The sequence below is a fragment of the Homo sapiens genome, chromosome 16 (assembly GCF_000001405.40).
Source record: "Homo sapiens chromosome 16, GRCh38.p14 Primary Assembly".
NCBI lineage: Eukaryota > Metazoa > Chordata > Mammalia > Primates > Hominidae > Homo > Homo sapiens.
The window spans coordinates 76468827-76495961 of NC_000016.10; the positions used below are offsets into that span (position 1 = coordinate 76468827).

The 27135-nt window shown below is 36.7% G+C and overlaps 1 protein-coding gene across 16 annotated transcripts in view; it reads left to right on the plus strand.

The window, feature by feature from the left end:
* The window catches only part of CNTNAP4 (contactin associated protein family member 4), a 283357-nt gene that overhangs the window by 191426 nt on the left and 64796 nt on the right, over nucleotides 1-27135 (plus strand). For 13 of the 16 annotated variants that reach the window (NR_136210.2, NM_001322189.2, NM_033401.5 and 10 more), the window contains 4 exons: nucleotides 7113-7219; nucleotides 10593-10712; nucleotides 20860-21057; nucleotides 26084-26240. Coding sequence is in view for 13 of the 16 variants with exons in the window: in NM_001322189.2 (NP_001309118.1) it covers nucleotides 7113-7219; nucleotides 10593-10712; nucleotides 20860-21057; nucleotides 26084-26240 (582 nt within the window). In the remaining 3 variants the exon portion in view is untranslated. Of the gene's footprint in view, nucleotides 1-7112; nucleotides 7220-10592; nucleotides 10713-20813; nucleotides 21058-26083; nucleotides 26241-27135 lie in introns of those variants that run through there. The other 3 variants (NR_136216.2, NR_136213.2, XM_047434819.1) reach the window with 2 other exon arrangements.

Consider the following 27135-nt stretch of genomic DNA (forward strand, 5'->3'; position numbering starts at 1 on the left):
TGCCAGTCATGCTTTAATATCAAGGCTGTTAATTTTAATTATTGAGTTTAATGGAATGCCATAACCATTACAGATTAAACAATTTTTAAAACAGTGTGACCAAATTAGCCTCTACCCTGTAGTAATGTTCAATATGTATTTTGAATAAATACATAAATTATGAGAATCAAAAGTAACTTTTTACTTTTATAAGACATTTTGTCAACAAAAAGACTCTTCTATTTATATCCAATGGACCACTCAGTAATATTTGTCAATCCTATTTTGAACACTAATAAATACTTCATTATGTCTAGAAAACAGTAATAATAACCATATTCAGCAATAAGAGTGGCAGGACATAATTTCCTCCCCACAAATACTCATTTATTTGTTTAAAACAATTTGCAGAGAAAACAATTCTTTATATAATGAAAGATGATATGAAAAGAGAGAATTTAGACGTTAAACCTCAACTGGCTAGATTTGGGGATTGAATGACTTTTGGGTCCGTTTGTTGTGAACTTGTCCATAGTTACAACCTTAACAGCTCTGGAACCTAAAACCTGATTTAGGAGAGGGCACGCAGAGAGGCTTCCTGGGCCTGGCTTCTCAATAGGAGACTTGCTTACAGAGCAGGGACTCCCCAACCCCTGATGGGGAGCAGCCATCAGGGAAACTGGCAGGGAGAGGCTCAGTCACGCACACTCTGAGTGGTAGTGCATGTTGATTATCTCAGATTGCTGAACATTCATTTGGTACAAGTATATCTACCCTTCGTCCTGTGTGGACATGTTCTGGAGCTGCCATGTCACACAAGGACTCCCGGTTGCCTACTTTCTGAAGGTACATACTTTCTGTAAAATAGAGGACCATCAGCACATTTGGAGAACACATCACTTTAGTGCCATACCTTAAAAATGCTTTTCAGAAATAGTTAGCAAATTATGGATAGATCTTGACTATACATGTTTCTTTTTAAAAGATGCTTTAGGCTAACAGTAATCCTAACAATCTTAAAAATATAGCAAAAATCAAAGTAACATTTGCATACTTTTTAAATTTCCAAGCGTATCTGTAAACCTGTTGTCTTATACTCAGAAGAAGATGTATATTTAGTTTGGTCTTATATACTATACCTACTGACATGGCATCCCAAGATGGATGGCATCCCAAGAATTAAATGGAGCCTTAAAAAAAAAATCTGTGTACCAGGCCTTATGCTAAGCACTTAAGATGAATGAGCATTTAAATCAAGCCTCACAAAATCTCTTAGAACCTGTTCTTCATAGTGTTTGTTTCCTATAAGTATGGAAACAGATGCACAGAGAGAATAAGTTGGCTAAAATGACATGGCTAAGAAAAGGCAGAGCCCAGCCTCTAACCCCAGCACTCTGGATCCAGGGAAGTCTCCCTGAAATGTTTGCCTGCCATGCCATGCAGCCCCTCTGGGTGCAAGTTAACATTTGGGGTGGTTAGTATTTAATCCATGCGTAATAAATGTATCATTTGATGGTTCAATAAACTATAATTAAAAACAAGCATTAACAGCCAGCCAGACACGGTGACTCACACCTGTAATCCCAGCACTTTGGGAGGCCAAGACGGGTGGATCACCTGAGGTCAGGAGTTCAAGACCAGCCTGGCTAACATAGCAAAACCACGTCTCTACTAATAATATATATATATATAAAATTAGTCGGGCATGGTGGCACATGCCTATAATCCCAGCTTCTCGGGAGGCTGAGGCAGGAGAATCGCTTGAACCCGGGAGACGAAGGTTGCAGTGAGCCAAGATTGTGCCATTGCACTCCAGCCTGGGCAACAAGAGTGAAACGCCGTCTCGAAAAACAAAAACAAACAAACAAAAAACCAGGAAGTAACATTAAAAACATTAACAATCTGACGGGAACTTAAAATAATGCAGGTTTTTAAAAAAAAACTGTAATACTTTAAGTTGGCTCAAACCTACAGATAAAGGTGTAAATACAAATACACACACATGCTCACATTCATACCACATGGCTATTCACACACACTCTACACACATGCACCAATGTGGCCTTTGCACACTGTTTCTCTCATGTGGACACATTCATATGCTCATTCACATAGTCCAAAGCTCCTTACACTTTCACACACCATCCTCACACACGTTTACACAACTCACATATTAATCCTTACTCATGCACACTCACACACAACCATCCTTTTACACTTCTACACTCATAAGTCCTTCCCAGACTTCTTATATTCACATCTTCCTTACACAGAGTCACTCCCTACGCAAACACACACAAACACACACATACACACACACACACACTCTTAGAAGCCCTCCCCTTGTCCTCTGTGGACATGCAGTGGGGTGGCCCTCAGTCCAGGGACTTCGGAGAGGGGTGGCGAAGGGGTGAGTACAGAACTGAAAAGGCAGCTGCTATCCAAGTCCTCACATCTGGGGCTGAAATGTGAGTGGGGCTGGGGCAGGAGTGATGGCTACTAAGACAACAATTCTTACAAAGTTGCTTGGACGTAAAACACTTATTAAAGGAAATTGTTTAGTATATCATTTGGTATCAAAGCACACTGGGGCTGCAGAGACCCCTGACAGGAACTAAGAGGCTGTTGAGTGACAACGTCAACCTTGTGACCTTAGCAAGCACAGCACCCACCTCCTGGCTTCCTTGCCTCCAGCCTCTGCACCTCCGTCACCTGTCCTTCCAATCCACCCCTACTATCCAGCCCTCAGGTTCTGGCCTCCAGCCTCCATGGCACCGTCCTCCATCCAGGCCCGTTGTTTTCCTCTTCCTTTCTGGTGGAGTTTCTACCTGCCTACCTTCCCTCCCCTCTTCTCCATGGAGCCCCAAGCCTGCCCTTTGTTCCTTATACTCACACACAGGGTTTATTCCAGTTGATTTGAAGATCGTGGTGTTATTCCGCCTCCTGTAATACTGAAGGCATGGCCCTTTTGGAGGCGAGGGCTAGGGATATGAGGAGGTTGATTCTTGTCAATATCAAAGTTTTGCGGAAGAATGTAAGATTTGAATTGTGGTGGTGACCATTATCCTAGCGCTCATTGGCACTTAAGTTTATTTCCCTAAATGTGATAATGTTGTATAGAGTTTACTTCAATATTAATTCCAGCAAACCTTTACATTGTATGAAAGTTTTTGAAATTTACATTGTAATGGACAGGGAATCATGAGAAATCAAAATCTTACTATCACTTTAGGTTTGGGTATGTTGATGTAAGCATTTGTTCAAGTTCACAAGCAATGGAAAGGATGGCAATGTCCAAGGAAAAGCTTTCGTGGCTAGAGAAAATGGGTTAATCAATTGTCTTATCTTGTATTGGAGTGAGTAGGGAGGAGAAAAGTGTAAAATACAATGGTTTAGAACATTTGGTGAGAATGAGTACTATAGAACCTAAATTGCCATAGGTTACTAGTAGTAAACATTATGATAATATAATGACTTTAAATAAAATTCACAATTTAATCTTTCACATTTGAATTAAAAATAGGAAAAATCTAGTCTAACAAGAATCAAGAAAAATTGACTCAGTTGGTCTTTTTGAAGCAGATCAAATAGAAATAACATATGTATCACAACCATTTAAGAGTCATTCTTTTGGATTTTAGGCAAAGCCACTTATGTTGAACTCTTTTTAAAACATGGTTTGAGGTTTGCTATAGAATAGCCTTTGGTTTTACGTTCCTGCATTAGTTTGCTAAGGAAGTGGCCTCCAGCTCCATCTATGTTCCTGCAAAGGACGTGATGTCATTCTTTTTTATGGCTGCATAGTATTCCATGGTGTATAGGTACCACATTTTCTTTATTTGGTTTATCATTGATGGGCATTTTAGGTTGATTCCATCTCTTTGCCATTGTGAATACTAATGCAATGAATACGACATGTTCTTACTTATAAGTGGGAGCTAAATGATGAGAACTCATAGACACAAAAAGGGGAACAACACTTACTGGGACTTACTGGAGGTTGGAGGGTGGGAGGAGGGAGAGGATCAGGAAAAATAACTAATGGGTACTAAGCTTTATACCTGGGTGATGAAACAATCTGTACAACAAACCCTCATGACACAAGTTTACCTGGTAACAAACCTGCTCATAAGTTACCCCTGAACTTAAAATAAGAGTTAAAAAATAAAAAGACATAAGTATACTCCGTGAGGGGGGCAGAGGGGGGAAGCCTTCTCTGAATAATGTCCTTTCTGGTTTGATTACCAACTAGAATTTTTATTGTTTTAATATTTTTAAATCTCCCTGTTTTTACACATTGTCATTGATTTGAAATGCTTAAAATTAAATAAATCCTGACACATTTTTAATGAATTCCTGTGAATCTATAAAAAAGCTAAATATGTATAAACTTAATGGATATGAAGAGATGCCCATTATTAATTTTTGGTTTCTTAAAAAGCAGATTGTAAAGTAGCATTTCTTTATGATTATATTTATGGATATACACACATATCTATATGTTTGTAGTGGTCATTCATACACAGTGAGATTGTCAGTGACATTTCTTTTTTATTTTTTCCTGGATTGTTTAATTTCTCTACAGTGAACATCTCTTTTTTTATAATCAGGAAAAATACATAATATTGTTTTTAGTTAAAATTGGAAAAAATTCTGTAAGCAAAATGTAAAGTTTCCATCCTTTGTTTTAATAAAGGAGATGGCAGACCTGTAATCCCAGCACTTTGGGAGGCCGAGGCGGGCAGATCACGAGGTCAGGAGATCGAGACCATCCTGGCTAACATGGTGAAGCCCCGTCTCTACTAAAAAATACAAAAAATTAGCCAAGCGTGGTGGCAGGCACCTGTAGTTCCAGCTACTCGGGAGGCTGAGGCAGGAGAATGGCATGAACCTGGGAGGCGGAGCTTGCAGTGAGCCAAGATCGCGCCACTGCACTACAGCCTGGGCAACAGAGTGAGACTCCATCCCAAACAAATAAAAATAAAGGAGATTGCGGAAACCCTATTATGTATATATTCTTGGCAGGTTTTGTAGGTTTTTTTTTTGTTTTGTTTTGTTTTGTTTTGTTTTTTAATCTGGGATGAATGAGGGCACTTAAAACCTTTGTCTCTTGGTGTGTTTCATTCTGAATCCTAACAGGTATCAATAATTTGATCACGGCTATTTGATCAAGTTCCCAAGCTGTTGGTGCATGGTGCTCTGCCTGTCTCAGTAACTGTTTGCTGCACCTGTAAGCCAAAAGATAGACCTAACACTTTGATTTTATAAGGGGCTTAGCTACAAATAACTTAATAAGTGTTTATTTCCTTACAACTGGCTAACAGTGAGATGAGGCCATCTGTGTTTGCTTCTTGGTGCTTAAAGAAGTTAGGCTCCTACCTCCCCAGAGACTGGGAGACAGGGGCTGTATCTTTCTTAATGCTTACATTTCAAAGGGGTGACTCCCAGGTCCTTGAAAGACATACCTGGGTTGTAAAAGTGGCAAGTGGCTGGGAGAAGATTTACATCTGAAGGGGACAAAGAAAGAATTGATCACTGAAAGTTTTCTAAAGTAAACGCTCTAAGATAAGGCAGGTCAAGGGCCTGTAGTCCGCAAGAAACCTATCTAAATTGTGGTTAAGGAGAGGGGAATGTTAGTACCATTTTAGTCCTTATAATAAGGAAAAAAAATCCATAATATCTCTTTCAGATAAAATTGGAAAAATTTTATAAGCAAAACGGGAAGTTCTCATCCTTAGTTTTAATAAAGGAGACGGTAGAAACCCCATCACAAATGTGTTCTTGCAGGTTTTGTAGTTTATTTAGTCGTTAATCTGTAATGAATGAGGGCATTTAAAGTCTTGATCTCAGTGTATCTTTCATTCTAAATCCTAAAAGGCATCAAAAATCTGATTAGGGCTATTTGAGTCAATAACAAAACTTTCCAAACTTTTTCATCTATGGTGCCCTATGTGTCTCAGTAATTTTGACTGTGCTGCTAACCCAAAAGACTTTCGTAACACTAGCAATGTATCCCTAACCTTAAAAAGTGGTTTAGGTCCAAAAAACTTAACAATGCCATAACAACTTAGGAGCCTTTTGAAAAAAATAATATACATGATTTGGAAAAAATTATTTTTAATTAAACACAGTTACTTAGTATTTGGACATGTGTACCTGTTGAACACGGCACCGTTTCTCAAGACTTGAAACCAGATCAGACTCCAGAGCCAGGCGTGGTGGCACAAGCCTGTAATCCCAGCTACTCCAGAGGCTAAGGCAGGAGAATACAGGAGGCAGAACCCCTGCTTGAACCCAGGAGGCGGAGGTTGCAGTGAGCTGAGATTGTGCCACTGCACACCAACTGGGGCAACAGAGTGAGCAGCTGTCTCAAAAAAAAAAATGAGACTCCAGTAGCCTCATATTTTTGTTCAATATTGATTTCACATGGTACTTGCTTTTTAAAAAATCAGTTACTAAAACTCTGCTCCCCAAAGATAGGATGTGATTAAAGGGAATATATAATGATCTAATGTTGAAACTAAACTACCTCAAGCTAGTTAGTCACACGGTGTTTGATAGATGTTGAGTATGACAGATATTTCTCTTGAAGACTTAAATTATCCTGGGAGTCCCTATGAGTTCTGTTTTGCACCTTAGAGCACCCCAACACACTGCTTGAAATTTGTGAGCCTATACTGTGTATTCTCCTACATTCCTAGAAGTATACCTCAAGTGAAGAAAGGTATTCCTCTGTCTTCCTTTTTTCTTTTCTTCTTTTATCTGTATTCCTTCTTTCAGTGTTCAAACAATGTAGCAATTCAATGTGATAAAATGTTATTTCATGTATGCTGTTGATATTTCTGCCAACATATTGAATTCGTGTTATGTCACTGAGGGAAAATGAAGGGCTCTGATGTAGTGGGACATGTTGAAAATTAAGCAGTCACAACTATCTGAGAATTGGCTGAAATCTGATGAATTTATTGATCTAAGGTTTAGTTCTGTGATTAAAGTGATTAACAACAGACTGAAGCATCATTAGTCATTATGTTATAGTTGACATCTGTCTTTCTCATGACCAAGTATAAATGGTCAATACTTTAAGATATCTAAAAATGGAAACTGGTGATTGTATCTGCACCTTCTTTTAGGTGTTTGCCCAACTATTGTGAACACGGTGGGGAGTGTTCCCAGTCCTGGAGCACCTTTCATTGTAACTGTACCAACACTGGTTACAGAGGAGCTACTTGCCATAACTGTAAGCGGAACACATCTGCTTTTTCTTGCCCCTGTGATGGTTTCTTTGTCCCATTTCCCTTTTCATTGCTGTGTGTATATATGTCTGTTCTGTGCAAACTCAGCATCCAGTGGTTAATCCACATCTCATTTCATAAAGTCGTCAAGATAGCCTATAAAAGTACATAATATGAAACAAACTTGGCAAAGGGAAAATACATATAGAAGATGAAAGGTAGCTAAGGGTTGAAAACTAAGAAAATGCAGAACGTGAATTTTGTTATCTTGTTCTGTTACTCAAATTGGGCCAGCATTTTGACACTAAACTTTCTAGAAGGCGCAGTACAAGTGGAAACATGCTCAGTTACCAAATTCTTACTATTCATACAATTAAACAAAGAGATTCTCAGAAACAGCCCTGGTTGGAGTGGGTTGGGGTGGTTTGTGGTATGAAGATTCAGATATCCAGTAGAGACTAGATGCCATAGTCTGTTTGGATAGCTGTAACATAATGCCATAGCCTAGGTGACTTACAAACTGCAGAAATGTATTTCTCACCATTCTGGAGGCTGAGAAGTTCAAGATCAAGATGCCAGCAGATTAGGTGAGGGTGTGCTTCCTGGTTCATAGACTTCCATCTTCTCACTGTGTCCTCACATGGTGAAAGGGGTGAGGGATTTCTCTGGGAAATCTTTTACAAGGGCACTAAATCCCACTCATGAGGGCTTCACTCTCATGGCCTAATCACTTCACTAAGGCCCCACCTCCCAATACCACCATATTGGGGACTAGGTTTCAACATACACGTTTTGAGGGGACACAAACCTTCAGTCTATTGCGCTAGATAATTCTTATGTTATCTTGCAACCCTATTTAATGAGGGTGATAAGGAAAAGGGTGGTAGATAATGATTAAATTATGATGGTAGATAAATAGTTAATTTTATTCAATACTTTCTAAATGTCAGCTACTGATCTAGTATTTTCTATGTCCTAACTCGTTTAATTCTGATGCTCACCCTAGTAGGTGAATACTATTATATGCAACTTACTTATAAAGAAATAGATATTAATCTATTTGTTCAAGGCTACTTAAAATAGTTGAGGCAGAGTGAGGATGTGAACATGTGACAACATCTTCTAGAGCCTGGGATAACAACCAATATCCCTTTTTCCTGTATTACAAATCATGAATTTGTTTTTCTGATGAAATGGATTGCATGTGTTGTAAGGCCCATGTTATTTCATTGTCCAGTTGTTCTGGCGCACAAATGGGAAGACCAAAATGCCCATTTCCCCCCCATTTTTTCCGATTATTACTGACATTTCTGAGCAACTGAACTCTTAGTATTACCTCCTATATCCTTGATTTAAGGTAAGAGTATAAGGTACAAAGCCATCAGTCTCACCACCCTTGGTCTATTACACTATACACTGCATTGTGCTCCTGCCAGTGTTTGGAATCCTGGGCTCCCAGCTCTGGGGGCCTGCACAGAGGACCCTCAGAAGCCCTGATTCGGTGCTGGGGAAGACATCATCAAGAGAATCTCTCAGCTCTACCACTGTTGTTGGAGTCATTTCTGGGCATGAATTGTGTATACTGAGGTGCCTCATAAGATTTTTATGAAGAATATTGGCTGGTAATAAAGCCACACCTCACCTGTACTTGCATGCCACGTTATTTGACCCAGGACACCCAGCTAGTGGAAGGACAGTATATTTTAATTTTTTACATCCTCCATTATCCCCATGTAGTAACTAACTCAAAACAGAAAGCTATTCAGTGTTTTCATCGACTATTCATTTTAATTGTTATCAGTGACTGAATCTAAATATAAACCAAACAACTCTGAAGACAAAAATTAGGTAATAAATAAAGTTACTTTCATCTGTGACCCACAATTTGATACAATAATTGAGTTTCATTTATTAGGTTCTTGAAAAGACAGCTGTAATAGAACTGAAGGGTTTTTGCCCATAACTATTCCGAGAAATGAAGCCAGAATGACAGTCTTGGTTATAGTGGAGGGCAGGAGATGGAGTTTGTTAAAAAGCCTTATTAGGAAATAATCATTAAACAGTCATGTTTTAAAAAGTCAAGCCATACACATAAATCAACAGTCATGTTATAAAAAGTCAAGCCATACACATAAATCAGAAGTCCTTCCGAGTAGTCTCATCCAATCCTTTTCCACAACCAGTCCCACCACAAAGTTATGATATTCTGCCAAGCTCTTTCAAGGACTTTATGAACATATGCATATGTACATAGAAATGTATAAACTAGTCATTTTTACGTACTCTCTTCAGTGCACAAAATGCAAATGTGACTGGAAGATGAACCATGCTTATATCTCTATCAGCATGATATATTATAGGAACAAAATAAAACTGTCACACTGTGGAGAAGTGCGGAAGTAAATTTACATGATTACTTGAAATTTTGGTAACATTGAACAAATTAGCCATAGTATTTCACGTTGTTTAAACACTCATTAACATAATTTTCAAAAGTAAAATAGATTCAGGGACAAATATTCAGGGGATTATTTCTCATTTCACAGAATAAAATGCTTAACAGAAGTTATCAGTATATTTGGCCAAGTGTTCAATGAGAGGTGTGCATTATACACAAGTGTATTAATATGAAACCTTGTACATGGCAAATTTAGGATTACATAATTAAAAACATCCAAACATCCGATTATGGATCTAAACACACTGAAACCACTTGAAGGCATAGTTCATACAAGTATGTCTTCTGCTTTGAATTTTAATTATCTTGAGTTCTCATTATGGAGCATTGGTGGGAGTTTCTTTTGTAAATTACTTAAAATTATTGATGAGCTTTGTGAATCCCATTTGTTTTATGAAAAAAATATTTTATAGTTAATTTTCTGTGAGAATATAGTTGTAACATGATTTAAAGTGTTTCTGTTGTATAATTATTGGCTAACAGCAGATTTTTTAAGGAAGTTACACTGTTGTGCTTCAGACCTTAGGTTATTACAAGGTGCTACTAGGATTTCCAAAATGTGTGCCACAAGATAAGTTATGACATTATACTTATAAGGCTCCAACATTTAAACACCTACCTTCTCTTTCCTTGTTCTTCATAATGTCAAAGTAGCTAAATTTTGATTTTGACCAAGTAATTTCATTTTCCTTTAGTGATTAAAAAAAGTCATAAAATCAACTTCTTTTTTTGCTATCAAATCACTTTCATCCATATTAATTTTAAAAAAGAATGAGTTTTGTTTTAAAGTAAGTTTTGCCTTTTCTCCTGGTCAGTAATGTACATTTTAAATTTCAAGATTTGCGGTATTTCATGTCCAAATTAAAAGTTAAGAGATTCATTTCATGCTATTCCATTAATGATGATTTTTTTTCTTAAAGCTATCTATGAGCAGTCATGTGAAGCCTATAAGCACAGAGGAAATACTTCAGGGTTTTACTATATAGATTCAGATGGAAGTGGTCCCCTGGAACCATTTCTTCTATATTGCAATATGACCGGTGAGTTAATCAGCTTTTATTTTACAGTTAAATTTGCATGCATGTTTTAAATAGGCAAAATTAAAATGAAATAAGCAGAATGTTGACGTAATTTGCAACTTGATTAAAATATGTATTGTTCCTTAGAAAAACTGAACATAAATCTTAAAAAAATAATTAAATGGTAATGATTTTAAATGTCTTTTTTAATGCATGTGGCATCTGTGTAAAACATCTAATAATAAATGTTTCCAATTATGTCCCCAAACAAAAAGGATAGACTATTTATGAGAGAAGATTGATACATGTAAAAGCTTTGAAGAATATTTACTTTTTAAATGTATGTAAACATAAAGTTTACGTCTTCTTGTATTCTTACATAAATTTACATAGAAATTAATAAACATGGAAATATGTTTGATTAAATTCAACATTCATCCATAATTTAAAACACTCAACAAATTACCAATAGAAGGAAGTTACCTTGTTTCGATAAAGACCAGAAAACTTTACAGCCTATATTAGTTTATAGTGGAATTTGAAAGCTTTTCCCATTACCGGCTTTAATACCATTCTCGTCACCATTGTATTGGAGGTCCTAGACAGTGCAATAAAACAAGAGAAAGAAATGAAAAATATAAATATTGGGGAAAAAAAAGACCAAGATTCTCACTATTCATAGATAATCAGGTTATGTATTAAAATACTCTAAACAATTTACAGATAAACTATTAGGATTGTCATTGAACAACAAACATAAAATTAATTTTATTTTTGTATATCAGCAATAAAAATTAGAAAATAAACTTTTAGGAGATCATATTTTCAATAGCATAAAAACCTCAAACACATGGTAGTAAATGTAATGAAAGATGTACAAGGTTTCTACACCGATAATTAGAAAACACCCTTTCAATGAACTAATATCCTAAATAAATGGAGAAATATAAAATGTTCATTGATCACGCCTGTAATCCCAGCACTTTGGGAGGTGGGCAGATCATGAAGTTAAGAGATTGAGACCATCCTGGCCAACATGGTGAAATCTCGTCTCTCCTAAAAATACAAAAATTAGCTGGGCATGGTGGCATGCGCTTGCAGTCCCAGCTACTCAGGAGGCTGAGGCAAGAAAACTGCTTGAACCTGGGAGGTGGAGGTTGCATTGAGCCAAGATTGTGCCACTGCACTTCAGCCTGGTGACAGAGTGAGACTCTGTCTCAAAAAAAGAAAAAAATATGTTCGTTGATTAGAAGACTCAATATTGTATAATATCAGTTCTTCCAAACTAGATATTGATTCCGTGCAAACCTAAATTAAAACTCAAGCAGGGTGTTTGTTTGTAGGTTGGTGTGATTATTTTGGTGAAAATCAACAAGCATATTCTAAAATTATGAGTAAATACACAGAGGCAAGAAGAACCAAGTCAGTGAGTCTTGAAGAACAAATTTGAAGGATTCAGCTCTACTGGATATAGGCATTATACTGATTGGCTACGTAAAGCCGTATATAGCTGTCACAAAGATAAACAAATAAACCAATAAAAACAAAATAGAGAATTTATAAACAGACTCACTCATATATGGATAATTGATTTATTGCCAAGGTGGCATTGATATGTAATGAAGGAAAGATGGTCTTTTCAACCAGTAGTGCTGGTGGAATTTGTACTTAAATGTCAGTAAAAGGAGTATTGATCTCCTCCTCATCAAACACACACACACAAAATAGATTCTAGATGAACTGTGCTGTCCAACATGGTAGCCACTAGCAAGTGCCTATTTGAATTCTAATTTAATTAAAATTAATTACAAAACAAAATGACTGCATTTTAAAAATTTAAACTTAAATTTAAAAATTTAACTAAAATAGGATTAAATAACAGCCGGGTGCAGTGGCTCACACCTGTAATCCCAGCACTTTGGGAAGCCAGGGCGGGGGCATAATTTGAGCCCAGGAGTTCGAGACCAGGCTGGGCAACATAGTGAGACCCCATCTCTATTTTTCTTTTTTTAAGTTTACTTTGTCAGTCTCCCTGGCTGCATTTTAACTGCTTAATAGCCTCCCGGGGCTAGTATGGAGTGTATCATTGTAGATGTAGAACCTTGTCATTTGCTGAAAGTTACAATGAACAGTGTTAGAAGTCAATATTTTATGGAGCAAAACCAAAGGAAAAGGGCAAAATTATTATACATTGAGGCAGAGGGTGTTGCAAGGGGAGATTTGGTACTTAAAATTGAAGAACATATCTTTCGGGCAGAGGAAACAGAAAGTACCAAGTTCTGAGACAGATGATCTTACTTACCAGGTGTGTTCAGAAAACAGCAACAAACCTAGGATAGCGGGAGTATGGTGAGTAAGTGGGGCGTAGGAAGAGAGGAGAGAGGCAAGTTGGGTGGGGAGGGGAAGAGTATGGGCTTCATGACAATGTTGTAAGACCTTTGGTTTTTTACTCTGAAATGAGATGAGAAGACACTGAGGAGTTTATTTTTTTATTTTTTTTTTTAATTTTTATTATACTGTAGTTTTAAGAAACGGTGGGATGCAATCTGACTTCCTTTAGTTGGATTGCAACTGCTCCTGGGTTAGGGAATGCTTCTTCAGGAGCATGGGTGGAAAAGAGTGATGAGACTATGCATATTGTACTTTATAAGATACAATTTCAGTATCTTAATTGTATTGGGAGACCATTTCAAGTAATGCAAAAATCCAGGACTGATTGTACAAGATAATAGCACTGTAGATGGAGGAAAGGTGTTAGATTTTTCTCTTTGCATAGCTATGAGGTGTGAGAAAACAAAAAGCCAAAAATAACGACACAGTTTTTGCCCTGAGTAATTGAGTGTTTGAATTGTCATTATTTAAGATGTGATCAGAAAAGGTTTAAGGTGAAAGATCATAAGCTCTGTTTTACACAATTTTTTTTTTTTTTTAGTTTGAGATGTCTGTTTTTCCATGTTCAAACAAGATTCTGAGGAGGCATTTGAATATGGGAGCAACCGCTTCTTTATACTAATGAATGTTTAGTTCTAAAAACTGCAGGTGGTGGCAAACTCTGTGCCAACACATATTTTGGCAGAAATTGCTATAAATTAGTATCTTCAAAGGTTTTTCATTTAACACAACTTGGTAGCTTCTATCTGTCTCACAACCATTGAGGACATTGCCTCATACACCAAAACAGCCCAAACAAATGGTGTTCCTGCATATGTGTCTTCTCAATGAAGCTCTCCCGCCTGTGCAGTACAAATGCCCAGACAGCACTGCAGGTGCTTCTCATCCAGTGCAACCACTGAGTTGGGCCAATGGAAATAATATCATCATGGATCTTCCCAAATGATTCTTATGTGTACTTAGGTTTGGGAATCACTGTTTTAGACTTCATGGTTCTCAAACTTCAGTATGCACTGGCAACTCTGGTATGCGAGAATTAAACATAACAAATGTGAGAGGACTTTACAGAGAAAAAAAGAGAGAAGACTTTACAAGTGTAAGATATGAATTCCAGTGCCAAAATGTTTTATTATTTTTTTTCCAGCTTGGATAGGTTGGATTGTGAGTGAGATTTATGTAACAATCCACCACTGCAAACCTGTAAATTCTATGTTCCCATAAATGCATCCGGATCTATACACATACACATGTTATAGGAAGTTTCATTCTGAAATTAGACAGCGATAGGTTGATAAATATCTCTAGTCTTTGAAGTTTTAAGAAACACACACACACACACACACACACACACACACACACACACACACACATCCATTCTCATTGTTTGCAGTCGTTATGTTCCGTAAAGTAACCAAGAACACTGGATTGGAAAACACTGAACAAATTACTCCTGGGGGAATCACAGTACAATTAGTTTCTTGCAAGCCTCTGGTCACAACGGTCTCATTCACCAATCAATACATAATCTTGTTTTATGTGTGTTTCAGGTTAAAGACACCTTATTTAATACATACTGTTGATTCATTAACATTGAGCTCATGGCCAAGAGCACTGTAGCTCACGCCTGAGCAAAGCTTATCTAACATACGTGTTTTCTTTCTAGGGCTCAGTGCGTGCAACCTTCTGTGCTTAGGAGCACTCGACAACATTTCTGGGAGTAGGGGGCGTTTTAAACAGCAAAATCACCAATGAGTAGCACAAAAATGCAAAAAAATGTGGCACTTAATAGACTACAAATGAGACATTTGTTCATAGTATGAGAGCTGAAACAGGAAAACAATGTTTCCTTGTTCAGCTCTAACGGGGTATGTGAATGTCAGGCAGGCCAAATTTTTGCAGCTCTGTTTGTGTTCACAAATGACTGTGAAAGCATTGGGGTTACAAATAAATTTTAGCAAGTAGGCAAATTCACAAGTAATGAGAATCTGTGTGTGATGAATATCGACTATATATCTTATGTTTATTATGGGCAATAATTTAGTAATTTATAGGCCATATGTATTTTTTATTAACTAAATGATAATGAAATTATCAATTTTATTTTATTGAATATATTATTTAAATTAAATCAACATTTACTTTTTTATATTACATAGCAAATTAATGTACATTATTATAGAAGATATATCTTTGATAAACAAATTATTTGGGGAAAAAATTGTAGTTAAGACTAAACAATTCTAAGAGACCTGAAGAGTGTGTATGTGTGTGTGGGGAAAGAGAGAGAGAGAACAAATTCCATGTTTTAGGAGCTTAGATTTTGAAATGAGGTCAGATGGGTCATAGATCCCAAAGAGGAGAGAAATGAAAAAAAAAAAAAAAAAAAAGACTGGAGTCACTGGAAGTATGCAGAGATTAAAGGTGCTTCATTCAGCAAGATTAAAAGTATTGATGGAAAAGAGGACATTCAGAAAATTTAAAGCCACGTGGATAGCAAGATGTTCAGAAACACAGATACCCAGAGACAGCTAAATGTCTCCAGTAGCTCTGGAATATTGGAACATATTCAAACAAAAGTGACAACCCAGAGTATTGCAACCCAGTGAGAAATACGTGTTACTACTTGAAACTTTCCTTATTGATCTAGTTTTGCAAATGAGGAAGCCAAGAATGGGGGAGGTTAAGTGTAGGAGGTATAGCTTGAAACTCTCCTTATTGATCTGGTTTTGCAAATAAGGAAACCAAGGCTCAGGGAGGTTAAGTGTAGCAGGGTGAAAATATTGGTAGGAATAGATCAAGCACTGGTCTCTTTTCTCACAGCCTGAAAGTTTTTCCACTAGGAAGAGTTACCTTCTATCAATGTTTCATTGCTTGCAGCCAATAGCATATCTTCTAGTTATATAGATCAGGTATAATGACTGCTGAAAATAAGACAAAATGCTGAATCACCAACATGCAAATATGTGTCTTATTAAAAAATCCAGTTTTTAGTCTAGAACTAGTGTCAAGTGATTCCACATGTATTAAAATACCTCTAAGCATTATAAGCTAAAATCTACAAAAAAAATCTCTATTTTGAATGGATAATTTCTTAAACGATGTTAAAAGCTGAAATTTCTTTGTAAACAGTTTTCCAAACATAGTTTCAAAATAATTAGTTAGAGTAAGGTGAATCCCAGGGGCTGTCCGTATTGCTTTTTCTTTTCTTTTCTTTTTTTCTTTTTTTGAGACAAAGTTTCACTCTTGTTGCCCAGGCTGGAGTGCAATGGCACGATCTCGGCTGGTCTAAACCTCCGCCTCCCAGGTTCAAGCATTTCTCCTGCCTCAGCCTCCCGAGTAGCTGGGATTGCAGGCATGCACCACCACGCCCAGCCAATTTTGTATTTTTCGTAGAGATGGGGTTTCTCCATGTTGGTCAGGCTGGTCTCGAACTCCCGACCTTAGGTGATCCGCCTGCCTCAGCCTCCCAAAGTGCTGGGATTGCAGGCATGAGCCACTGTGCCCAGCCTTCATTGCTTTTTCTATAATGAAATTGTTTTATGTTCAAGAAGTTTCTTGTTATCAAATATTGCACTGTAAGGATGATTGTTCCAGAGGGGAGAAATTGATGAGTGCCAGAACAGAGACTTTCAAGTTTTTCTAAAAGTGAAAACTCTATGGGTTAAACTCACCCCTTCTCATGGTCCCATTACTGAGACTCCTGGGTTTAGTTTCCCTGACTCAGTAAGTTTAGAACACAAGGTCTGGGTCTCTGCATTACTAACAAGTACCCCAGGTGATTCTGAGATAGGAGCTCCTGAGACCATTTCAGGAGAAAGCTGGAGAGCATAAGACTTACAATAGCATAATTATTTTTACTTTAGAGATTTCAATAATAAAGGCCTTCTTAACAGCTATGAGGGTTAATACATAACTGTCCATTATTCAAATGCAGTCTTATTTACATCAAGCTTTGCTCCAGAAGGCTGGCTCTCTCCCCTCCTGTCTCCTCTGCTTTCCTTAAGACAGCACTTCCTACCTGCTCTTAGGGTCTTTATCACATCTATCACCTTCAGCTATTCAGCGTGAAGCAACACAAGCTTTGCAAGTGTATTGCTTAAACAGCATGTTTTCACTTTGCACTGTTATCACACTAAAAAATAGCAGCCAGCCTAAGGTAAATCCAGTTGTTAATTACTCAGTTGCTTTATTTACAAATATTGAAATCTCTTCAGGGGGAGACGTGAGTAGACCCAAACTACCATTCAATGGAGATTTTCTGCCTATTTCAGCCATCTCTTATTCATTTCCCTGTCTCCTTACCCTACCACTCTTTTTGCATTTAGTAAAAGATAATTGGTAATAAAGTAAAATCATGATTCTCATACAGATATGAAAATAAAAGTTTAAAAGTTTTAAAGATTTTTAAAATGCATTATTAATGAAGAAATTGGAAAGATATTACAACCAGTTCGAAGGAGAATCCAAAGAAAAGATGTATCTACACATTAGGAACACAGAAACAAATGTGCATACGGAGGCAACACTGGATTCATCCATGGTGGAGGAGGGAAGTCACTAGAACCTCAACCAGGTAGCAGTTGCTTGTCTACAGACAAGACAAGAATTATTTGTTGTAAGGAAACAGTGCCTGTATTTCTAGACAAAGACAAAAAAAAAAGTCTGGCAACCTACGTTAAAGGATGATTAAATGCATCTTGGAAGTTAGAGATAGAGAATTGCTCTGAAGAGATTTAAAGGCTTATCTCCCCCAGATGCATTTGCTTATTTTCTAAGAGTAATAAAAACCTAAGGACTGTACCTTCTCTCCTCTAAAGAAAATTTGTGACATTCCAGAGCCAAAGTCTCTCTATCACTGTATGGAGGGAAGGAGGAGAGAGTGTGCCAGGCACCCTCTGTAAGCCCAAGCCTCATAATTTTGTGAACCTCCTCTTGTGGTGCAAGTCCAGCAGGCACAGCTCTATCTAGCACTCACTGCATGTGCAGGTGGGAAATTGAGGTATGAGAGATTGATGCTGATTAGATTCTCTATGAGCGAATGGTCCCTGATTCAGAGGTCCTCTGTGTCTGTTAGTATAGATTAGACAGGTAGGTAGGTAGTAGATAGATCATAAACAGATAGATATTATCTGTGTATTGGCAAGATAACTCCTTAACTTGCAAGTGGGATAACATCTCAGGGCCCAGCACAGTTTCAGATTTAACATTATTTAGCAATTCTATTAGTTATCTACAATGTATAGAATTATATAACAGCTCAAAGCAACGAACATGTCAGAGCCACCGCAGCATCTGAATCAGATAACCTAGGAGGTTGTGCTCTAATCTAGACAATGTGTTGTTTTTATTCATTCGTTTGTTTATTCCCTCATTTCTTCAACAAATGTCTTCTGCGTTTTCTATCAAGCCTTGTGCTGTGTGCTGGAGATATGATTGTTACCAGATCACAAACTATTGCTATTCTCATAGAGCTTACAGACTGGTAGGAAAGACCAGTAAAGTCAACCACAAAGTATTGAATTACAAATTGTGATGAAGTGCATGTCTTTTACCACTCTTATTCCTAAATAGGTGTTTGTAGAAACTTCGGATCACTCAATCATGTCTGAAAGAACAGTAAAGAGGCTCTAATTTGAGACTTTTCAGAGATTTCCAGATTAATGAAGCACATGAGGTTTGGAACCTGGCTTTTAAGGCACCTATCTCCGTTGCTCAAAATCTATTGTGACAATTTCATTGTGTCTGTTCTGCCCTGGAAATCTAGATGGCCTGATAAGTGTGGCGTCTGTTTAACATCATACCTTGTAGTGCTTTTTATTAGAGAATAAAATCACTTACAGGGACTATCATAATATTGAAATATTTTAGAATTTCAAAAGGAAACGTTGTTATGAGCTACTCTTTAATGGTTGCCATGCACTATGGCCTTGAATCTCTTGCAACACCTTTAAATACCTTTAGAATCAGGTGTTAATTGTGACCCAGTGGATGCTAAACTACAGGGAAGTCTCACTCAGTGTGATCCAGAAGGGAAAGAGACAAAGGCTTCAAGCAGGTATATTGTCCGCCTTGCTTGGTAGCTAGCTTCTTCTTGCATGCCATTGATTTACCGCAAGAAAAGGTGAATAGTTTTTTTGAACAAAAGAAACAGAGTCCAACAGTGGCTAGGCTGTCAGGTTTGTCTAGTTAATAATAACCTTAAACTTCCGATAGCCAAGGTTGAGTTGGCTGAAATTACAGAATTTCAGACCTCGTTCTGCCAATTTAATTTCCAAATTTGGAAATGGAGGCTCAGATTTTACCTGACTTTCCTAAGGGCACAAGATCCATGCCAGATCTGCAACTCAGATCTCTTAATTGACTTCGACATTATACTGCTGGCCACCCGTAATTTCATTGGCTGGTAGATTAAGTTCTGTTTGAGAGCATTCTACTGTTGAAGGGTGAACTGAAATGCAAGGGGGAAATACAAAAATAACAGCTATTGTTTCGCAGAAAAATAATAATCCACACATGGAAGGCAATAATTCTGTGAAGTTGGTCCAGCCTCATTTAGCCTGCCTCTCTAATCCAAACTCTGATGACTGGGAAAGGAATGGGAATGAAATTTTCAAAGTATACCTCCTTATTTGGATTGTTGATCCATGTGAATGTCTTAGCTAAAAAGAGAGGGGAAAGTTTTGCCTACTATTACTATTTTTCTCCAATTTGGGATATTCCTCTGTATTACAGAAGAGTTATGTGACTTAACAGCACATATGTAGTAGAGTTCTGACAACTTTCACTCTGTTTTCTTGTCTACTAAATCAGAGGCTTTTTGATTTATCTGTTCTTGTGTCTGCATATATCACAGAAAATATAGTATAAAGTCTGTTGCTGGTAAAGTTGAAGGGCAGATATCACATGCCTATCATCTGTTACAAACATTGTGAGATTTTTATTTCATCTAAGAAATTTTGATAATCAGTATGATGGAAATGTTTACAGACATTCAGGCACCAATAGTGATAACTCTAGTAGATACTCAAAGATATTTTACTTTTGTGTTAGTTGAGATGCTGTGTCAGATGCATTCAATTCAAAAGAGTAACTTCCTATTGAACTGCCTAACTGTCCAGATCACATGATATCAAAATGAGTATTTCAAATTTAATTTTAAAAAGATGCACACTCATAATTAAATGTTGATTAAGGAGAGGTATATAGAGGGCTACAAAATTTTGACTTTATTTTTGCTGATACCATGAATAGTTGTTAAGAGTAGAAAAGGGGCTGCTTACATTATGTAATATAAATTATTTCTTGAATTCTAATATACATTTTTTTAAATATTGTGATATCATTGGATTTTGGGTGTGTTGATGAATAATGTTTTGTAGTTATAATAGGCAGCATTTTTCCTTTCTTGCAGAGAAATAAAATAATGATGCATCTTTAAAAAGATGGAATATCGATTTCAATGAAATAAAATACATCACAAAAATAATCAGATTTCTTAATATTTTTCATCATAAATATTGTGTGGCTAAATTATATGAAAATGTTAAATAAAATTACTGTAAATGCATGGCAATAGTATATATTTTAGGAAAAATAATCACTTACCATAACTTAAAAATTCCGAGAATCCATTTGTGTTGATTCTACCTCTCAGGGAAGTTTGATGACTAGAAACATTTGACTCAGATAAAAGGTGATTTTGATTTTCTTTATTTATTTTAACTTTTGCAGACTAGTGATGGTCTCCTCTCTTTCTCCCCCCATTTCTGCATACAAGAAACTGCATGGACCATCATACAGCACAACGGCTCTGACTTAACAAGAGTCAGAAATACTAATCCAGAGAACCCATATGCTGGGTTTTTCGAGTATGTGGCCAGCATGGAGCAACTTCAGGCCACTATTAACCGTGCAGAGCACTGTGAACAGGAGTTTACTTATTACTGCAAGAAGTCACGGCTGGTCAATAAGCAAGGTAAGTAAACCATGGTGTCTGTCTTGTTGCACACATCACATCATGCACTTACTCAACTAGCTCCTGAGAATTTTAAGTCTGCAAAGTGGTGGTGTCTAGCCACTGAGGGTATATGATCTCACATACTTAGTAAACATGTCACAGTCTGGAAGTCACAAAGATGCTTCTGCCTGAAGAAAAGAACAAGGTCAATTTACACTGAGCTTTATTCAAAGCCTTGATTGCTTTTAAACTCTCTTCCTGGCATTAATTGGATAACTGTACAGCAAAGGCCTCCTTCTGATACTCAGTGAATGCACAGTGTTTATCCCTGATAAAGGGCAAGTGACACATAAGGTTTATTTTATCATGGAAAACAGCTAATAAAAATACGACTTAGTTTTCTGAAAGCGATTATTCTACGTGCCTCTTTCTCATGGATTGTTGACAGCCTCTGGGTATAATGGAAAATTAGAAAAGGCTGCCAGAGACACAGTTGATTCACTAGTTCAAGGAGGAATCAGAAAACCATCTTGACTCTTTATTTGATTCTGCTGTGAATAACCAGTCTGCTCCTGAGTTCTGGTTTTGGTCTTTCTTTAGGGCATCTCATTATGTCAGAGCCTCTGTTTCCACCACATCTGCCTTACAGTAAGCCTTCATGAGCTAATTCTTGAAGTCACTGCAAGAGCTTTCCAGCTGGCCTCCTAGCTTGTCATCTCTTCACATCTTCTAACCATCCAATGCAAAATCCAAAATATTAGTCTCTATGAAGAAAATTAACCTTTAAGAAATGCTGCCCCCACTTTTAAGAAACACAGTTCTATTTAAGAAGCTCTACCGCCTTTCTGTTGTTTGTCTGTCCAACACAGCCTCTTCTGCTGGATCCTGGAATTGCGTATTCTGTGTCCACCCTGCCTATACAACCCTCGTGCCACCCTCAAACACGTATTTTCTAGCAGTGGCATTGAGGTGTATTTTTCTTTACATATTAGATAAAATTCTAAGACGTCTGTACAATAACGCTACTTCTTTCATGTTCACTCCTGCTTGTCCTAAGAAGGGCTGGAGTTTCAGAGAGAATGACAAAAATTTAAAAAGAAATTTGTTTCGTATAGAAATAGCATATGTCATAAAGATCATGCAAAAACGCTGAACTGTCGTTCTGACATTTGAACCCTGCATTTCCGATTAAGTCTCTCTCTATTTATTCTCCACCCACTAAAAATCAGATTATTTTCTCCCCTGTGACTGACTGCCCCCTTGCCCTTCTTCTCCTCTTTCTCCTCCTCGTTTTCCTTTTTTAGAATGTTTTCATTTGGCCTCTACCCCTCCAATCCCATCTTTCTGGAACCCACACCAAACTTACCTCCTCCTGGAACCTCAATTCTGTGTGCAAATGAGGATCAGACAGTTGTAGTGCAAACAGCATAGGATTTACAGCTGGAGGTGTGGGTGTGTTTCTCATTGGCTAGGTGCATCTAGAACATAGATAGATGAAACCTTGATTCATGAAATGGACGAATGGTTAATGAATCTCAGTCTTTGTTTTCTTTTCTCCAAAATGGGGCCAATGATACCAGCCTCACAGGGTTGCAGTGATGATTGGGTGGCATAGCACGTACAAAGTGCATGGCATGAGCCCCCCTCATTTCCAGCTCTCCAGGGCATTGTGGCCATCGTGAACATACACTGTTTAGTTTGTAATGGGTTGTTCATTGTTGGTGAATATTCATCTTAGAATAAAAAAACAGATAAGCAAATCTGGAAGGGTATTCTAAGAAGAAGAATGGTAATTATGGAAGAGTAAATGAATGCTGTGGAACAAAATGAACTCAGGTCATTTATGTGGAAAAGAGAGATAAAAGAAGGTCATGCAGTATATGTCTTTCAGTGTTCGGCTTATTCTGTTTAGTATAATGCCCTTCATGTTCATCCATGTTGTCACAAATGGCAGGACTTCCTTCTATTTAAGGCTGAATGATATCCCATTGTGTGTGTGTGTGTGTCACATTTTCTTTATCCATTCATCAATGGACACTTAGGTTTTTCCGTATCTTGGCTATTGTGAATAAAGCTGCAATGAACATGGGAGTGAAAACATCTCTTCAAGATACTGAAGGATATTATGCTGAGTGAAATAAGTCAGAAACAGAAAGACAAATACTTCATGATCCCACTTATATATGGAATCTAAAAAAGTTTAACTCATAGAAACAGAGTAAAAGAGTGATTTCTAGGGAAGGGGACTGGTGTGGAGATGTTGGTCAAAGGGTACAAATTTGCAGTTGTAAGATGAATATATTCTGGAGACATGGTATACAGAATGATTACTATAGTTAACAACAATGTATTGTATACTTGAAATCTGCTAAGAGAGTCGATTTTGGTATTCTCACCATAAAAATATAAAGTAGCTATGTTAAGTGGTGGGTATGTTAATTAGTGTGATTGTGGTAATCATTTCACAGTGTATATCAAAACATTGCTTTGCACACCTTAAATGTGTACAATTTTTATTTGTCAATTTTACTGCGAAGCTGAAAAATAAAATGTAAGAAAATACAAAAGAAGGATGGTTATCAAAGTTGACAAAGAAGTCAAGCTGTAACAGAACCAGAAAGCAAAATCCCTGAGAGAGTGTTGAGCAAACACCACACAGAGTAAAAGGGCTTGATATGGTTTGGCTGTGTCCCCACCCAAATCTCACCTTGAATTGTAATAATCCTCACGTGTCAAGGGCGGGGCCAGATGGAGATAATTGAATCATGGGGGCAGTTTCCTCCATACTGTTCTCATGGCAGTGAATAAGTCTCATGAGATCTTATGGTTTTATAAATGAGAGTTCCTCTGTACAAGCTATCTTGCTTGCCACCATGTAAGATGTGGCTTTGCCCTTCCTTGCCTTCTGCCATGATTTTGAGGCCTCCCCAGCCATGTGGAACTATGAGTCCATCAAACCTCTTTTCTTTATAAATTACCCAGTCTCAGGTATGTCTTTGTTAGCAGCATGAAGGCAGACTAATACAGGGATTGACACAGAATGTGAAGGAATCCCCACCTTTAAGGCCAGTTGTGCTTGCACACTTTTTTTTTTTTTTAATGCTTCCCTGGTCTTTCAGGCTCAATAACCAGTTTTAGAAAGTCAACTCCAGAAAGGCATGGAAGAGGGGATCTAGAAAGGCATGGAACATGACTAAATACAGAAGTTTTTCTCAGATTGGTGACCTCATGATTCGTGTGGAATAGATTTGAAGTGGAGAGAGTTAAAAGAGACAGAACAATTGGATTCTGAGGTCACAATAAGAAATATAATGGGGTAGAACAGGAAGTTGTTTTCAGACAAGCTATATTTGGAGTTTCAGATCTTGGTGATTTAGTGTCAAGTGATAATGATGCCATATGTGAATGAATAAAGTGAAATGTGTATGAAAATATGTTTTCTGCTGCTGAGGATCTGTGACTCAGCACACAGGAAGGGTGATCAATGGGAATGCTCAAGTCATTTAGGAAAGTAATTATGGGAGGTGGAATGTTCTACCATATCCACGGGTATTTTTTACCTTTAATTTTTATTTCTCAGGGTTTTAAAAATTCATTCCTTTACTTATTTAAATTCCTTAGTATTTTTTTTAAAGTCTTGGATTGAACCACAGTCTATACCTTAAAAAACATTCAGTGATTTCTATTTTATAGGGAAGACATGAAATTTAGATGTGGGAATATGGCTCAGTATTTAAGAATAACTATTTTTCTTTTTAATCTATGAAAACTTAATGTTTTAAGCAGTATATTGAAATATATTTATTAAGTATTTCAAGCAATTTTCACCTTCTGGTGAAGGGCTAATCATGTAATTAAAAAAAGACGAAGATTCTTCATATTAATGCATTTATGCATAACACAGCTTCTAATAACTCTTTGCTGGTTTTTTGTTTTTGTTTTGACGTGGCCAGACTGGCATGTATAGTAACCCTGGGAGAGAGCTTGTCAGCATTAGCATGGGGCTATCTAATAGTAAGTTAAAATGAGCATTGGCATTTATAAGCAAGGGAGAAATTAGTAAAAATCCCAGATTCTCAGTAGGGCTAATGGTGACAACTTGAAGGTTTGAAAGTCGACAGAAAAATGGTCAAGCACCTTTGAGAAACTGACTGATTCTATGTTGCTTACATTCTTCTCATGCCCTGATTCTCAGATGACTACAATTTTTCCTCCATACTTTTTTTTTTTCCATGATAGATTGGCTACATGCTTCACGTCCTTCTCTGAAAATCCTTTCCTAGATGTTCTGTCTGTTCCTTGCTCTAGTTACTTGGCATCGTGTTTAGTCTTAACTCTGAGAAGGAGCTGGTAGCTGAACATTTATCGTAGGAAGAGATGCATTTGGCTGAGGGAAACTTCCATTGAGTGTAATATTCGCTTCCAGCATGAAGATTTTTCAGTGTTATTTCTGTAGTCTTCAAATAAATAGCCAAGCCATTAAATGGAAGATAAAATATATACTTCCAAATAAATCTTAAATCATGACAAGGGAGTGCCAAATCATGCCTAACGTTTTTTAACAGCTAGGATATTTTTAGAGAATAAATTTATTGAGATAAATCAGGGACTTTACATAACATTCCATAATGCTTTAATGGGCATTTCATGATTTCAAATCAATTTTGCTTTGGTATGTTAATTACTATGATTTATATTTTGATGCTAACTTGTTTCAAAATTATTTTTAAAGAAATTGCATATGTGAGCTGCTCTCAATTCATTTTTTACTATCATGCCTAAATTAAATAGGAACTGCTGGTTTCTTTTCTACCCAAAAACAAATGTATTGGTCATTTAAGCCTAAATAATAACTTTTTTATAAAAAAAGTGTTCTTAAGGAAATGCCAGCAATCATACTGTTTTGCATATCCTTAAATCCAATCAATCTTTCTCCTTTTCTCCTTTTATTCTTTTTAATGATTTTGGAAGAAAAGGAATTATATTGGGAGAGAAGGTGGTGGAACATAAAACAGATGTCACATTTTTCACGTTTTTCTTTCAGATGGAACCCCTCTGAGTTGGTGGGTAGGAAGAACCAATGAAACGCAAACCTACTGGGGAGGTTCTTCGCCTGATCTTCAAAAATGTACTTGTGGATTAGAGGGAAACTGCATTGATTCTCAGTATTACTGCAATTGTGATGCTGACCGGAATGAATGGTGATTTCCATATGATTTCTTTATGCAAGAAAAAGTTCATTTAAAAAAATTAATCACTCAAAGTATGTATAGCTAGCCAGATACTGAACAAGTTAGTGCAATGAAGTAATTAAATAAAGGTTTGTTTTAATGAAACGTGGTGTAGTCAATATAATCGTTAGTATTAAGTCAATGCCTTTTTGAGTTATTTTCTGTAATGGACCATAAGTCATGTATATTTTAATTTTATAATCAAACAGAGACACCTGTTATATGGGGAATTAATTATTATTCCTTTTAAAACTATATATAAGTAGATATTCTATTATCTTAAAAATATGTTTACAGCCAAAGCACATTTCTTCAATAGTCTACCTATAAAAGCTTTAAAATTATCAACTTAGAATTTACTACAATTATTTTAACATGCAATTGTTTTATATTTTTAAAAAGACAAATCATACCACAAAGAACTAATGTTCTGTGGATTATATTTTGAAAAAATAGATCTGTAACATTTTAGGAATTTTAAAATCAAATTTAAAATATTCCTCTAAGCAGAGAAGAATCTTATGCATGTGTTCTTTGTCTGAAAAGTTTAAAAAAGACATTGATAGTATTTGAGACTAGAGTTGGCATGTATACTGCTCTTATTTATTATTTGTAAAGTGAAAATATTTTAAATGTTTATATTTACATTTCAGCATAACGTATATGTTACATTGCTAAGCAACTAGACCTGTACAGAAGGCTTATTTTTAACAAATATTCATAGTCAATCTGGATGTAATATGAGTGATTTTGTTACACAATGCATACTGATTACAGTGATAAATCTGTTAATGTAGGTCATAATTTGAATTAGATAATATTTCATTTAGTTAGGAAACATCAACTAAATCCCATCACATCAACT